Here is a 15,032-nt window from a genome sequence, read left to right on the forward strand (position 1 = left end):
GGAGGGGCTTCGGGAGAGCTGTTTGTGTGTGACAGGGCAAGGCCTGGCTGGCCCCCATCCATCACTGGGGTCAGCTCCGCCCCAGGCTTGGCCACAGCCAGCCGCCAGTTATTCAGGCAAAAGGATTACCCTGTAAAGAAAACAGAGCTGGGTTTGGACGCTGAGAGGACTGGGAAACAGGTTGCAGGGAGGCACAGGAAGCACACACCAAGAGCCAGAGAGAGGCCTCTGTGCCATCCCAAGGAATGAGGACAAAGAGAGGGGTCCTCGGGAAGAAGGGATCCACTTTGGAGAGGCCCCTTAACACGGGACAGAGCAAGGACAGAAAGAGGCATCCACTGGGATGGAAGAAGGACAGGATCCACAGGGAAAGAGGGATGAGGGGAATGAAGAGAGAAGAAATAAAGAGTTCAGCATCACCTCATGATGCAACTAATTTGGCACAATGCCCAGCACAATGTACCCCTCCATTCTGATTTGGTGGCCAGAAGAATTGAGATTCTTGGGCCAGGCACGATGGCTCATGCCTATAATCCCAGCACTTTGGAAGGTCAAGGTGGGTGGATCACTTGAGACCAAGAGTTCGAGACAAGCCTGGCCAACATAGCAAAACCCCATCTCTACTGAAAATACAAAAAGTAGCCAGGCATGGTGGCACGTGCGTGTAATCCCAGCTACTTGGCAGGCTGAGGCAGGAGAATCGCTTGAACTCGGGAGGCAGAGGTGGCAGTGAACCGAGATCATGCCACTGCACTCCAGCCTGGGTGGCAGGTGAGACTCTGTCTCAAAAAAAAAAAAAAAAAATTGAGATTCTTGGATAGCAAGCCCATTATTTAACATGTAAGCAAATTATTCAAAAAGCTTAAAACATACCTATCAAAGGTTAGACTCCTTATTAGTATTCCGCTTAATCTTAATTTGTTCAACAAACCATTCTGAGTTCAAATAGAGGTCCAAATCAACTGTATAAAAGATAACTTTGAGATGAGGAAAATTTAAATGGGGGCTCTGTTTTCTTTCTTTCTTTCTTTCTTTCTTTCTTTCTTTCTTTCTTTCTTTCTTTCTTTCTTTCTTTCTTTCTAACTTTTTTGCCAGTGACACAACCTCAGAAGTTCCTGAGAACATGTGTCCCAATTCCATTTCAGATGCTGATAAGAAATTCTAGTTAATTTTACTAGGTATAATGATGGCATGGTGGTGTAGTTATTCTTCAGTGCTTCCTTATGCATTCGTGATAGATGCAAACAGAAGTTTAGGGTGAAATAGCACAATGCCTGGGATTAACCTTAAAAAACTTCAGCAAAACAATTTATCTTATAATTTTTTATAAATATTATATAAACTTTATATAAATAACTATATATCTATATATATATATCAACAAGATCAGCAAAATGTTGAGAATTGCTAAAGCTAAGTGACAGATACATGGGAGTCCATTATACCAGACCCTTTCCTTTTGGGTGAAATTTCCAGAAGAAACACTTTTTGGAAATGTCCAGTTCAGCCTGGCCCGTCCCCTGCCTGGGCAATGTTGCATTCCTGGGAAGGAAGGAGAGGAGGTGGGGAGAGAAGAGGGAGAAGGAGAATATGACGTGGAGCTGAGCTGTATTTAAAGAGCACATTTGATTTCACTGCCTGGCAGATGTCCCAGGGCCTTGGGGGGACAGCAGACTGTCAGTGCGGGTGTGAAACAGTGAACTAAGACAGGGATTTAGCAAATCAAACAAGGAAGGAATGGTAAGAACCAGCTGCAAGGGGCAGGGAGAGGCATGTCCTGAAGCTCACAGGAAAAAGCCAAAGCAGCAGACATCAGGGCCTCAAGCTCTGCCCCAGTCCTGCTGGGCCTCAGGTGTCCCACAGAAGCCAACTCCCCCCACCCAAGGGGGCATCGTGGTATTCCTGCTGTGCAGCTGTTCCTCCATATTAAATAACACTGTGTAGGCAGAGAAGCCTTTAGACCATTTGTAACCACGCAATGGGTTCACCTTGCCTGCTGCGTAGACAGAACCGATTTATCAAGACAGGGGAATTCCAATAAAGAGTAATGCATGCAGAGCAGGCTGTGCAGGAGACGGTAGTTTTACTATTACTCTAATCAGTCTCCCCAGAGCAGGGGGTTTTAAAGATAATTTTGCGGGTAAGGGCTTGGGAAGTGGGGAGTGCTGATTGGTCAGGTTGGGGATAGAATCACACCCGGTCAAGTTAGGTTTTCTTAATGTCTTCTGTTCCTGGGTGCGATGGCAGAACTGGTTGGGCCAGATTACTGCTCTGGGTGGGGTCAGCTTATCCATGGAGTGTAGGCTCTGCAAAATATCTCAAGCACTGATCTTAGATTTTACAACAGTGCTGTTTACCCCCAGGAGCAATTTGGGGAGGTTCAGACTCTTGGAGCCAGGAGCTGCATGACCCCTAAATTGTAATTAATTATGCATGACCCCTAAATTGTAATTTACCCAGGAGCTACATGACCCCTAAATTGTACATTGTAAGCCTCAGAAACGAGGCTCCTATTTCTCCCTTCACAACCTTGATCCAGCAGCAGCCTGTGGCCGGCTCATCCCATCTCTTCCCTTGCTTACTTAGACCCCTTCCAGGGCCAGGGGCAGGTCACTACTCACATCCTACCCCACCCACCCCAGACAGAATCCTCCTGAGTCCAGGAGATTCCAAGAGTGCAGAAGGAACCACCAAGGGGCCTGCCTGTTCAGAGGCCTGCCAGCGTTCCCTCTGGGGTTTCCCTTCAGCCAGCCTAAACTGGGCCCTCCAGCGCCGGAGGCTTCCAGACAAAGACGGACCCTCCCTGCAGAAGGTTGGTGTTCCATCTGGGGAAAATGTCCCCAGTCACACCTCAGAAAAGCACCCCTGCCCCACCCTTTTCATGCCTTAATTTCTGAGAAACACCAACCCTCACAGCTTCGCCCTTTCTGTGTAGAAAATGTGCGCATTTCTCTGAGGGAGAGCTGTAGGCGCTGTGCCAGCCATATGGAGCAGAGCCTCCCCCACGCAGGCCCGAAACAATCATAGAAGTGGGGGCTCCCTTCCTCTCATGGGCTTGGACTTTGCCTCTGGATTTTGGACCCAAAATCTGGAGCCGGTCTGCACAGCCTAGCAATGATCTGGGGCTCATGGAAACAGTCTAGGAACCCCCACCATACTTCAGGATGGAACAATTGAGGGTCCAGCCCAGCCTTGGGGGAGCATGTCAGGGTGTTCTTTACTCAGTCAATTTAAATGGATGACAGAACTGACGCTTAGAAGCCTCATAAGACCTGCCCCCAAACAACTCACATCTGAGGATTAGAACCTGACTTGCAATGCCCAGGTGACATATATATACATGTAGAAATACAAAGACAGAGATTGATAGATATTTCTTTACTTGCCCCATCTGTGCCCCAAACACATACACACAGAGATTTCCAGCCGTTTTCTGCTTGCCCACCCATCCCCACCTCTCCCCAGAGGGACATCCATTAGGAAATGCACTTGCAGGCCATGTCTCTATCCTAATGTTGTTTTTTGTTTGTTCTTATTGTGCTTATTTGTTTGGTTTAGTGATGGAGTCTCACTCTGTCACCCAGACTGGAGTGCAGTGGTGCCATTATAGCTCACTGCAGCCTCAAACTCCTGGGCTCAAGCGATCCTCCCACCTCAGACTCCTGAATGGATGGAACTACAGGAACATGCCACCATGCCTGGCTAAGTTTTTTTTTTTTTTAGAGATGGGGTCTTGCTATGTTGCCCAGGCTGGTCTCAAACCCTTGGCCTTAAGTGATCCTCCCATTTCACCCTCCCAAAGTGCTGGGAAGTGTCCTAAAGTTGAGGAGCTTACAGCCTGGGTTGACTGTACACACACACACACACACACACACACACACACATATGCACACACACACAGAACTGGCTCCAGGGCTCACCCACAGGTCTGCCCACCTTCCCCACCAGCACTGCCGGAAGCCCCCTCCATTAGTCTCCTGTCCTGCTCCTTCTCTGAGATGAAGAGCTCTTTAAATCATGGTCATTGTGGCTGGGTGCGGTGGCTCACAAATGTAATCCCAGCACTTTGGGAGGGCAAGGTGGGTGGATGACCTGAGGTCAGGAGTTCGAGACCAGCCTGGCCAAATGGCAAAACCCCGTCTCTACTAAAAATACAAAAATTAGCCAAGAGTGGTGGCACATACCTGTAATCCAAGCTACTTGGGAGGCTGAGGTGGGAGAATCACTTGAACCTGGGAGGCAGAGGCTATAGTGAGCCAAGATCTCGCCACTGCACTCCAGCCTGGGTGACACAGGGAGACTCCGTCTCAACAACAACAACAAAAAAAAATCATAGTCATTTTTTTCCTGTTCCTCATCCCATCCACTCGTCTTCATTTTCATATATTTTACTTGTACATTTGTTTATTAATATCTACCCCATAAGAATGTAGGCTCTGCCAGGCGCAGTGGCTCACTCCTATAATCCCAACACTTTGGGAGGCTGAGGCACGTGGATCACCTGAGGTCAGGAGTTTAGAACCAGCATGGCCAACATGTATCTACTAAAAATACAAAAAAATTAGCCGGGCATGATGGTGGGCGCCTGTAATCCCAGCTGCTCGGGAGGATGAGGCAGGAGAATCGCTTGAACCTGGGAGGCAGAGGTTGCCGTGAGCCGAGATTGCGCCATTGCACTCCAGCCTGGGCAACAAGAGCGAAACTCCATCTCAAAAAAAAAAAGAATGTAGGCTCCCAGCAGGCAGGGATTGTCTTTTGGTCTGTTTTGTTTCCCGCTAGATCCCCAGCATCTAGGCTAGATCCTTACACAGAGTAGGTACAACCTGTTGGCTGAATGGGTCTCTAACCTCAAGAGCTGATGCCCCATGTCCCCTTTGCATTTGGGTACAAAGAAGTGGCATGAGGGGAAGTGGAATGCTCAGCAGTCTGTCCACTTAGAGGATTCCAAGCCAGATATGGTTGCCAAAGTCCTGTCATGTGGACAAGACTGGAGGGAGATTGGGGATCAACAGGTAGAATGTGGCAGAAGGCAAGCTTTGGCTTAGTCGTACCATCAGAACTACTCTCCGATAGGAGGGCCAGCTGGGGCAGGCTGTGGGCAGATTGCTGTGGCAATGGCGCCCAGGTGTGACCCCTGCCTTCTGGTGTCCGCCCTCGATGTAGGCTCCCCACAACACTGACACTGGGCTTGGCCACGTGACCTGCTTGCCACAGTGGGACAACAGCAAACAAGACACAAGCAAAGGTTGGAAAAGTGCTTGCCCATGGGGGCTTGTCCTCTCTCGCTGCAGGGAAATCTTCAGCCACTATGCGAAGGAGCCCAGACTAGCCTCCAAGAGGATAAGCGACCCTGTGGAGAGAGGCCCCAGCCCCAGCCATCCCAGCTGTATTAGTTGGTCTTTTTTTTTTTCCTATATTTTCTGATGCTGTGACATCTTGGAACCTCACTGACACTGCAGGGACCGATCCTCCCAGGGTTAGCTAATTCCCAGAGATAGCAAACAGCTCAAGGGGTGCATACCTTTCAAATGCAAACCAACCAATCTAGAGCCCACACCCCAACCACCTCCTCTATTGGGCTGTCATACTCAGGGCCACTATCCCCTACCCTAATCTTCCCAGGGCCAGGTACCAGACAACTAGAGCCAGCCCCCATGCTCCAGAGCCCACTGAAATTACTCAAACTAGCCAATCCTAAACTTGCTTACCCTCACTTGCCTTGCTTTTCCTATGCAGTTGAACCAGTATTCAAACCATGTCAACGGGAATCATTCTCCATCTCAGCTTTGTTTCCTTTGGCATTGGCTTTATTCTTAGACGGTGGCAAAAGTGATCATCAAAAACTCCAGTCCTATACCTTCCAGGTTGGCAACTCCCCAGGAAAAAGAGCTCTCCTTCCTAAATGTTCCGGCAAAAGCCCCAGAGCTGACTCCCATTGGTCTGGCTTGAATCACATGTCTATTGCTGAGCCAATCACTGGGACCAGGAAAATGCAGTACTCTGATTGGTTAGATTTGAGTCGAACCAAGGAAGGGGTCAATTGCACTTGGAATGAGAATGGGGATAGGGTAGTTTCCCAAAGGAAAAGAGGGTGTGTTACCAAAAAGCAGGAGAAATGGGTCTTGGGAAGGAAGAAACAACAGATTTCCTCCAGGAATGCTCTGAGCCTTTCTTTCCTGGCCTGTCTGATTCCTGACAGCTTTCTGGAACCTTGTCTCAGTCTGGATTTCTTTCTGAGAGAAGGAAGAGACTCACTCCCTTTGACCCTTTACTTTTGTATTGAGAACCAAAACCAGCTCTGACTGGCTCTTAACTTCAACCACACGGCATCAAATAAAAAATAATGTTTGACCCCGGACTTAGAAAAGGGTGGAGTGATTGTCCTTGGCTCTGACAACTGCTTCTGATAAGTATGAAGAACATTTTTGTTACTGGTTATAGTGGATTGGGGCTTGATATTAAGTCATCCAAATTGTTATTGCTCTCATTGGGGTTATTTTACTGGTCTTTCTGCTTTGTCGGGGGGTCATTCTTTTCCACTGGGAAATTTGTTCTTTTTTTCTTCCCTTTTAATGGAGGTCGTGTTGTTGACACCTTATGTTGTAGGGATGGCTGTTCTGATTGCTTTACAAAAAGCGTAATGATCAGAAGGATTCCTTACAGCAGAACAGCACCTTGCCATCTATAAAGCACTTTCACACACGTTATTACATTTGATCTCTACAATAAGCAGCATTGAGGAGAACAAATAGTATTATATCCACTTTCTATAGATATGGAAATAGACCCAGAGAGGTTAAGTGACTGGTTACAGGTCACAGAGCTATGTTGCCTTAGGTAGCAGGAAAATATTGGCAAGGAATAAGCAGGCATTTATTCAAGGCTTGATTTATTTAACAAGATAAGGCTTTATTGTTACAAAGTTCATCAGGGCTCAACTCCCCAGCTCCCTTCTTATTTTGGTACACAAACTACATAGCTCCAAAGGGACACACACACACATGCACGCACACACACACACACCCTGGGCCACCAATAGCCAAGGCTAGAGCCCAGCCAAGCATGTCAGCATGCAGGCTCACCCACAAGCAGGTCTGGGAGATGCAGGCCTGGCTCATGGGCAGGTGCCCAGGAGCCCACAGCTTGGTTCAGTCCTCCCGCAGAGCTCCTCACCCAACCCAGCACCTTCTCTCCTCAAAGGGGGTGGTGGCTGGGGCTATGGGTAGGGCTGGGGCTTTGTCAGGAGGGAGGAGGCAAGTCTGGGAGGGTCTGGGGAGCTGGGGAAATTTCCTGAATGGAAACTCCAGGCTGATATGCTGGGGACATTCCTTCCAGGGACTCTCCTCTCCCTCCACATCCTTGCCTTTTCTCTCTGTGCCTGAACCCTGGACAGAAAATGAGTAGACTTTATGGGTCACGTGGAAACCAAGGGGTAGGGCTCACCCACAAGCAGGTCACAAGACAAAAGCAGAGAGCAAGGTCACCAGAGTAGGTGCTATCTCCACTGTCCCTCCTGTCATGGGAAGAAGGGCCTCCGGGAAGCCGGGAAGCCCCCCACAACACCTCTTGCTGTGGTCCTAGGAACCTCCAGGCAATCCTCTCTGTTCCAACACTCTGCCTGTGTCCTAACAAACAAGGTAAGTGGCAACTCCTGCAGAAGTGGGCCCTGACCCTGACCCTGTCATCTCACCTCTGGGACTCATTGTGGAAGTCCTGGGCATTCAGCATGACAGACTGGCCAGTGGGGAAGTGACCCAGCCCCAGAGCTCTCTGGGAAACCTCTGCATTGGCCCCTGACCCCACCCTGGGGTTTTCATAGATCCAAGCACCTTCCCAGCATCCAGGTGAAAGGCCCAGCGCTTATTAAACCCTGCCCAACCTGGCCTGGATGCTTCCTGGATGTGCACTGCTGGGAGACTTCTATTCTGGAAGATCCTGTCACAAAGAAGAATAGGAAATGCCAGAAACTCATCTATCTGATAGGATTTGTTTTTCCCCATAGGAGAAAAACCCAATCACACCATCTCCCACTTGGAACAACTGCAATTACCCACTCCCCGTAAGTGGAAGAACACCAGGGCTAATCAAATGACACCACTCCGGGAAGCCAATGGCTCCCAGTACCAATCTTTTTGAAAAGCCCATATGGAAAGCTACAAATTCTATTTGTCTTGTCTGGGGGGGAAATGAGTTTTAAATATGTTGAATCAAAAATGATATATACCAGACACTAGTGATCCAGAACAAACGCCTTGGGAGAAAAACTACTCTGAAAACGTTCAGTATTCAGGTTGCCAAAGAACTGGGAATTTAGGCTGAAATATACAAGCACAGAACATTCACACTGGACAGCCACATGTCCCTTACCAGGCCCGGATGGAATTGGTCCTCAGACAGAGCCCTGGTTCCTTCCTGAGCACTGGCCTCAGCAGCTTCCCCCAGGGACACTCCCTGCCACCTCCTGGTGAGCTTCAATGTCTTCCTGCTGGGCCAGGCTGCCGAGGCCTGAAGATCTCGGGTCCACCCTATGCAGCCAGCCTGACCGGGTTGAGGAAAGGCTGGGGAGGTAAAGAAGAGGTCTGCTTTCCACCAGATTCCCAAGCCCAGCAGACAATTATGCCATTAAATAGTCAGTTTACAAACCATGGAGGGCACTGATTGTTCTCTTCCAAGACAAACTGGTGAGGTAGGAAGCTCCTGGGAGTAGGCACTGGGAGACCTAGGTTCTAATCCCAGCTCCACTAGTAGCTGCTAGTGCCAAAGGTCTTGGACAAATCCCTTCTCCTGTCTAGTCCTTAGTTGATAAAATAAGAAACTGAATTTAAATGCTCTCTTTCGATTCTACAACTAACATATTTTTTTTTCTTTTCACTCTTTCAAGAGTCTGTAGAAAAGGGTAGGAAAAGATCCCTCTTTTTTTTCAAGAGGGTAGAGAATGGTGAATAAGAGCAGTCTTTCAAATCAGCCTGCACAGGTTTGAATCCCAGCCTGGCTCCTTTCAAACTGTGTGACCCTGAGCAAGTGACTTAACCCTCTCTGTGCTTCCATTTTCTCTTCTCTACCATGAAGATAGTAGTATCTGTCTCACAGCCTTGTGAAAGGACATGATGAATTAGCATTCAAAGGCCTTTCAATAGCTCCTAGCACATAGCTATTATTTCTTCAGCAACTACTGTATACCACGCTCTGTCCCAGGCACTGCAGAGACAGAAGTGATTGAGAGCCATGGTCCTTGCCCTCCAGGATCGTACTGTCTCCTAGGAAAATGTTGCCCTGGCAGCCTCTCTCTGATGGTCACATGTTTGCATCCCTAAGGGTAGGATCGTTCCTGGCCTTCTGCCCAGGCACGGGGTTGGGCATGAAACAAGTCCCCCCACAGGTCTCTGAGGCGCATACCAGCTGCCTGACTCTTGATTTTTTCTTTCCCTGCTTCTTTACTGCTTTTCCCCTCCTGATTCCACTTGATGTCTAACTTCAAAGAGAATAGAAATAAATAAAAGCTCCTGCAAAAGAGGCTGTCTTCCTCCTCCCTCTGCATTCCCTCTCTAATCTTCTCTCCAGTCTCCGCCTGTTGGTGTTGCATCATTCCTGCTCACAGCCTCGCTCCATTTGCCCCGTTTAGGGAGCTACGAGATCCCTCGGTGCCTCCTGCCCTCCTAAGAACACACTCTGGCCTTGCTCTTCCTAGAACCCGACATGGCCATAATCTTCTTGGTTCGTGAGGACATTGGCTGCAGGAACATTCAGCTGTGTTTTCCCAGGGGATGGGGGCGGGGGCCAGAGAAATTGTTCAGCTCCTGCGCAGTCAGCAGGGAAGGTAATCGGGATTAATCTGAGCACTGCCAAATGCAGATGAGTCCCAGCCAAGGAGGGAGGGCAGGAAGCTACTGTCTCAGGGGCCAGCTGCTGCTGCCGCCAGGGGGTCCGGGGAAGAGGAATGAGGCACTGGCACAGATCAGAGAGCCCCAAGAGGTTTGGACAGCATCGTGGAGGTCTGGGGCCGCCCAGCCCAGTCTGGCCAGGAGGGCTGCTTGGTGGATGTCTTTCATGGCATGTTGAGAGCTGGCAGGCTAACTGTGTATGCACAAATGCACACTGGCTGTTTGAGGAATTCCCAAATCCCTTGCTGGAGGCTAGATGATGAAAAACAGGATTCTAGAGGAATCCTGTGGCCTCCCGTGCCACCATGCTCATTCTTGGGCTGCCAGGGGTCGGGGGGTGCTGGGAGGAGGAGTGCAAATGGCAGCCCTTTGGCCAATTCTGGCAGGTCCTGGGTCAGACAGATTAAATGATGGTAAGCGAGGAGTTGGGCAAATATTTCTGAGTGCCTACTATGTGCCCGATGCTGTGCCAGGCTCCAGAGAAACAAAACTGAACAAATAGAGGGGCTCATAGCCTGGTGGGAAGACAGTGGCACTGGGGGACACAGAGGCTCCCTGAGCTGTGGGAAACATGTGGAGGTGATCTTTGGGGTCCTGGCACCCCCTCCTCCATGCCCCTCATCCCTGCAAGTACCATAATCCTTTTACAGTATTAGTGGCTGATGGAGAGTTACTTCCAGGATGATTTGTTTAAAGAGGAAATTCTTGAAGCCCTCAAACCCTCCAGTGCTAACAGGGGGCAGGGGATCAAAATGGCAACGTTTTAGGCCTCCTGCTACATCTGGGAAGGGGGAAGAAGTAATCACCCACTGACCTGAGGTCAGGATGTCAGGGGCCTGGTCCATGCCCTGTCACTCCAGGCTGGGTGAGCTGGGGCAAGTCACTAAGCTCTCAAAGCCTCCCTCCCAGGTTTCTGTGCAGCTTAGAGGAGATGCTGTAATTGGCAGGGAAGGGGCAGACCATGGTGTGATGCACGGCTGGAGCCTCCCTGTCTTCATCTTGCAGTAGCCCTGTGGCCCTTTCATATCCCTGGATGCACACTTGCTGCTGAGTTTCCTATGGGTCATGTTCACATTGATTTATGTGTAAACAGTTGTTGAAAATAATACAATATTTTATGAGGCTAAACAGAAGACAAGGGGCCCTAATAAAAGCAGATGCATAAACCAGTGGAACAGAATAGAGAACCCAGGAACAAATCCACACATCTACAGTGAACTCATTTTCAACAAAGTTTCCAAGAACATACATTGAGGAAATGTATTTAATAAGTGGTGCTGAGAAAACTAGATATCCATAGGCAGAAGAATGAAACTAGACCCCTATTTCTCACCATATGCAAAAATCAAATCAAAATGAATTAAAGGCTGAAATAAGACCTCAAACTGTGAAATTATTACAATAAAACATTGGAGAAACTCTCCAGGACATTGAAGTGGGCAAAGACTTCTTGAGCAATATCCCATAGGCACAGGCAACCAAAGCAAAAATGGACAAATGAGATCACATCGAGTTGAAAAGCTTCTGCACAGCAAAGGACAAGATCAACAAAGTGAAGACAGACGCCACAGAATGGGAGAAATATTTGCAAACTACCCATCTGACAAGGGATTAATAACCAGGATATATAAGGAGCTCAAATAACTCTCTGGGAAAAAAATCTAATAATACCACTTTTAAAATTGGCAAAAGATCTGAACAGACGTTTCTCAAAAGAAGACAAACAAATGGCAAATATGTGTATGATCCAAAAGACAGGCAATAACAAATGCTGGCGAGGATGTGGAGAAAAGGGAATCCTCATACACTGTTGGTGGAAATGTAAATTAGTACAACCACTATGGAGGACAGTTTGGAGGTTTCTCAAAAAAAACTAAAAATAGAGCTACCATATGAGATCTGCACTCCTATGTTTACTGTAGCACTGCTCACAATAGCCAAGATTTGGAAGCAACTAAGTGTCCACCAATAGATAAATGGGGCTGGGTACGGTGGCTCACAACCATAATCCTAGCACTTTGGGAGGCCAAGGGAGGTGGATGGCTTGAACCCAGGAGTTTGAGATCAGCCTGGGCAACATGGTGAAACCCTGTCTCTACAAAGAAATACAAAAATTAGATAGGTGTCATGGCATGTGCCTATAGTCCCAGCTCCTTGGGAGGCTGAGGTAGGAGGATCAATTGAGCCCAGGAGGTTGAGGCTGCAGTGAGCCATGATTGCTCCACTGTACTCCAGCCTAGGCAACATAGTGAGACCCTGTCTCAAAAAAAAAAAAATAGACGAATGGATAAAGAAAATGTAGTACATATATACAATGGAGTACAATTCAGTCATAAAAAAGATGAGATCCTGTAATTTGCGACAACGTGGATGGAGCTGGAGATCATTATGTTAACTGAAATAAGCCAGGCACAGAAAGACAAACTTCATATGTTCACGCTTATCTGTGGGTGGTAAAAATTAAAACAGTTGAACCCATAGAGATAGAGAATAGAAGGATGGTTACCAGAGACTGGAAAGGGTAGTGGGGGTGGGGGGAGGGGTGATGGTTAATAGGTACAAAAAAAATTGAAAGAATGAATGAGACCTAGTATTTGCTAGCATAAAAGGGAGACTATAGTAAAAATTAATTTAATTGTACATTTTAAAATAATTAATGCTTGAGGGAATGAATAGCTTATTTACCTTGATGTGATTAGTACACATTTGCATGCCTGTATCAAAATATCTCATGTAACCCATAAATATGTACCTCGACTGTGTACCCACAAAAATTAAAAATTAAAAAAAAATTAAGGCCAGGCACGGTGGCTCACGCCTGTAATCCTAGCACTTTGGAAGGCCGAGGCGGGTGGATCACTTGAGGTCAGGAGTTCGAGACCAGCCTGGCCAACATGGTGAAACCCCGTCTCTACCAAAACTATTTAAAAAATAGCTGGCTGTGGTGGCGTGTGCCTGTGATCCCAGCTACTCGAGAGGCTGAGGCAGAAGAATCGCCTGAACCCAGGAGGCAGAGGTTGCAGTGAGCTGAGATCGTGCCACTACACTCCAGCCTGAACGACAGACTCCGTCTCAAAAAAAAAAGAAAGAAAGAAAGAAAAAAAGAAAAAATTAAAAAAGAAGACAAGGGACCCTTGTGGGGTGTGGGGAGGGAGCATCTGTGACCCACATATTCTGTGGCCAAAGGGGCCAAGTATCTGAAAAGGCAGCCTCAGGACCATTTAAAATAGGCTTGATGGAACCAGGTACCCCCAGGGCCTGGACAGGGGAGGCCGTGGGTCTCCAATACGCGCTTGCCAGTCCTTTAAGCTGATTGAACCACGGTTTGTGCCCAGCGCCCGGTGGCTACCCAATAAACGTTGGCCCGTGCTCCTCTCGCCAAACTCAGCCACCACATGGGTCGGGGCCGCGGTGTCTCAAGCCCTTCGTAGGCTTCCACCGTCAGGCGGCGCTCGGCCTAGAGGCCCAGCCTAGTCCCCCACGCCTGGATGTGGAAAGCGCCCTCCACCTTCTCCGGGGACCCCTCTGCCTCACCGGGAAACCGCTAGGGGTGCTGGGCAGAGGCAGTGTGTTCCCGCTCTGCCTCGCGGCTCTTCACGCGGCTGAAAGGGGTGGGGGTTGCAAAAAGCAAGGTCCGGGGCAAGGACGCCGTCTTGGTCAAGGCTTTCCACGCCGGGCTGGGGAGAAGAGCGCAGCCACGTGGGAGAGTTAACAAGGGCCCCCCCACTGGGATGCCAGCCACCAGGAGTCTAATCCTGATGCTGTGTGGCCTGGGCACACGTTTTCCCCATTCTGGGCCTGTTTCCTCAGCTGAAAAATCGCATCCTAGACCCATTTGCTTAGGTCGATTCTGCATCAACAATTCCACGATTCGGTAGATAGGTGTATCCGGTAGGGTGACACCCAGTCAGACCCCCCAGCAGCCACAATCCTTTGCCTCTGAGCCAACATAACACGTTTGGAACACACGTTCTATTTGCGGTGCCAGCCGAGCTCTGAGGCCACAGCTGGGTCCAGCGGGAGACAGGAGAGCACAGGGTTAACAGCTGGGCCGGGAGGCCGGGAGGGCGACGCCTGGGTTCTAGTGCCAGCGCCCTGTGACCGTGGGCAAATTACTCAATCCCTCCCTGCGCGGGGCATGGTACCGTGCTGGCCCCGCGGGGCTGGTGGTGGGAGGGGAATGAAACGATGCGCGCCAGGTCCGCGCGCGGGCCCGGCGGAGTCCTCTCTCCCCACGCAGGAGGACTGCCTGGGCGGGCGTGGGAGGGCTGGGAACCCCGGTACCATCCCGGCTGTCCGCCCAGTGTCTCCCAGAAAAGGGGAGTCGGAATCTCTCTCACAAGGAGTCGAGTCGGAGGAGACTCGAGTCCTCTGGAAACCGCTGAGCTGCTCGGGTGCCTTTTCTTTTTGTCCTGGAAGGAATCTATCAGTACAGGAAATGTCTTCACGATCCCCGTCCCCGACTCTTCACAGAGCCCACCCTGTGCCCCTTTCTGACCCGGTCCGGGAGGGCTGGGGCCTCTCCCCAGGTGCCATCTCCGGCCTGGGGAGCCACAAACTGCCGCGGTCGGTGTCCGCAGGCGCAGAGCTGCGCCCTGACTCGCCCGGCTGGGTCTGGATGATCCCACCCGCTCAGCAAATTTCCCTTTTTTATTGTTGGTTTTGTCTGTTGGCTTTTACCCCCTTTCCTTTTCCTGCTTCCCCTGAGTCAGCAATGCTGAGCCCAGCGAAGCACAGGGGGCCAAAGGGAGAGACACACGGAGCGCCCCGGGGTCCCCCAGCCTCGGCGGCCCCCGAACCCCCCAGCCAGCCTAGAGCTGCCCTTCTGGGCCTCTTTTCTGCCAAGACCACTGAATGCCCATCCCCGAGGGCCCAGTCGAAGGGGATTGGAGAGGGTCAGGGTGGGAGGCGGGGCGATGGACAGCGGCGCCAGTGGTCCCGTGAGCGCTCCTGCTGCCCGCAGGTCCGGTACCCTCAGTTAACTGTACCTGGATGACTTCGGCCCCTTTAACAAGCACTTTCCATTTAACTCATTTCATCATCTCAATTCTGTGAGTGGGTCCTGTTATTATCCCACACTGTTATTGTCAGCCACCAAGTCAAGCAATAACAATAACATAACAATGAAAGCCCAGCAAACCAGTAATTTTT

At 49.7% G+C, this 15,032-nt stretch overlaps 2 annotated features.

The window, feature by feature from the left end:
- Positions 4,644 to 5,144: an enhancer, noted in NCBI's record as "H3K4me1 hESC enhancer chr7:127902350-127902850 (GRCh37/hg19 assembly coordinates)". NCBI's record gives its function as "activates a minimal SCP1, AML or CMV promoter by ChIP-STARR-seq in naive H9 embryonic stem cells {active_cell/tissue: H9 hESC(naive)}" and the evidence as "EXISTENCE:reporter gene assay evidence [ECO:0000049][PMID:30033119]".
- Positions 9,869 to 10,598: an enhancer, noted in NCBI's record as "H3K27ac-H3K4me1 hESC enhancer chr7:127907575-127908304 (GRCh37/hg19 assembly coordinates)". NCBI's record gives its function as "activates a minimal SCP1, AML or CMV promoter by ChIP-STARR-seq in naive H9 embryonic stem cells {active_cell/tissue: H9 hESC(naive)}" and the evidence as "EXISTENCE:reporter gene assay evidence [ECO:0000049][PMID:30033119]".

This window comes from Homo sapiens, chromosome 7 (assembly GCF_000001405.40).
Source record: "Homo sapiens chromosome 7, GRCh38.p14 Primary Assembly".
Classification (NCBI taxonomy): Eukaryota; Metazoa; Chordata; class Mammalia; order Primates; family Hominidae; genus Homo; species Homo sapiens.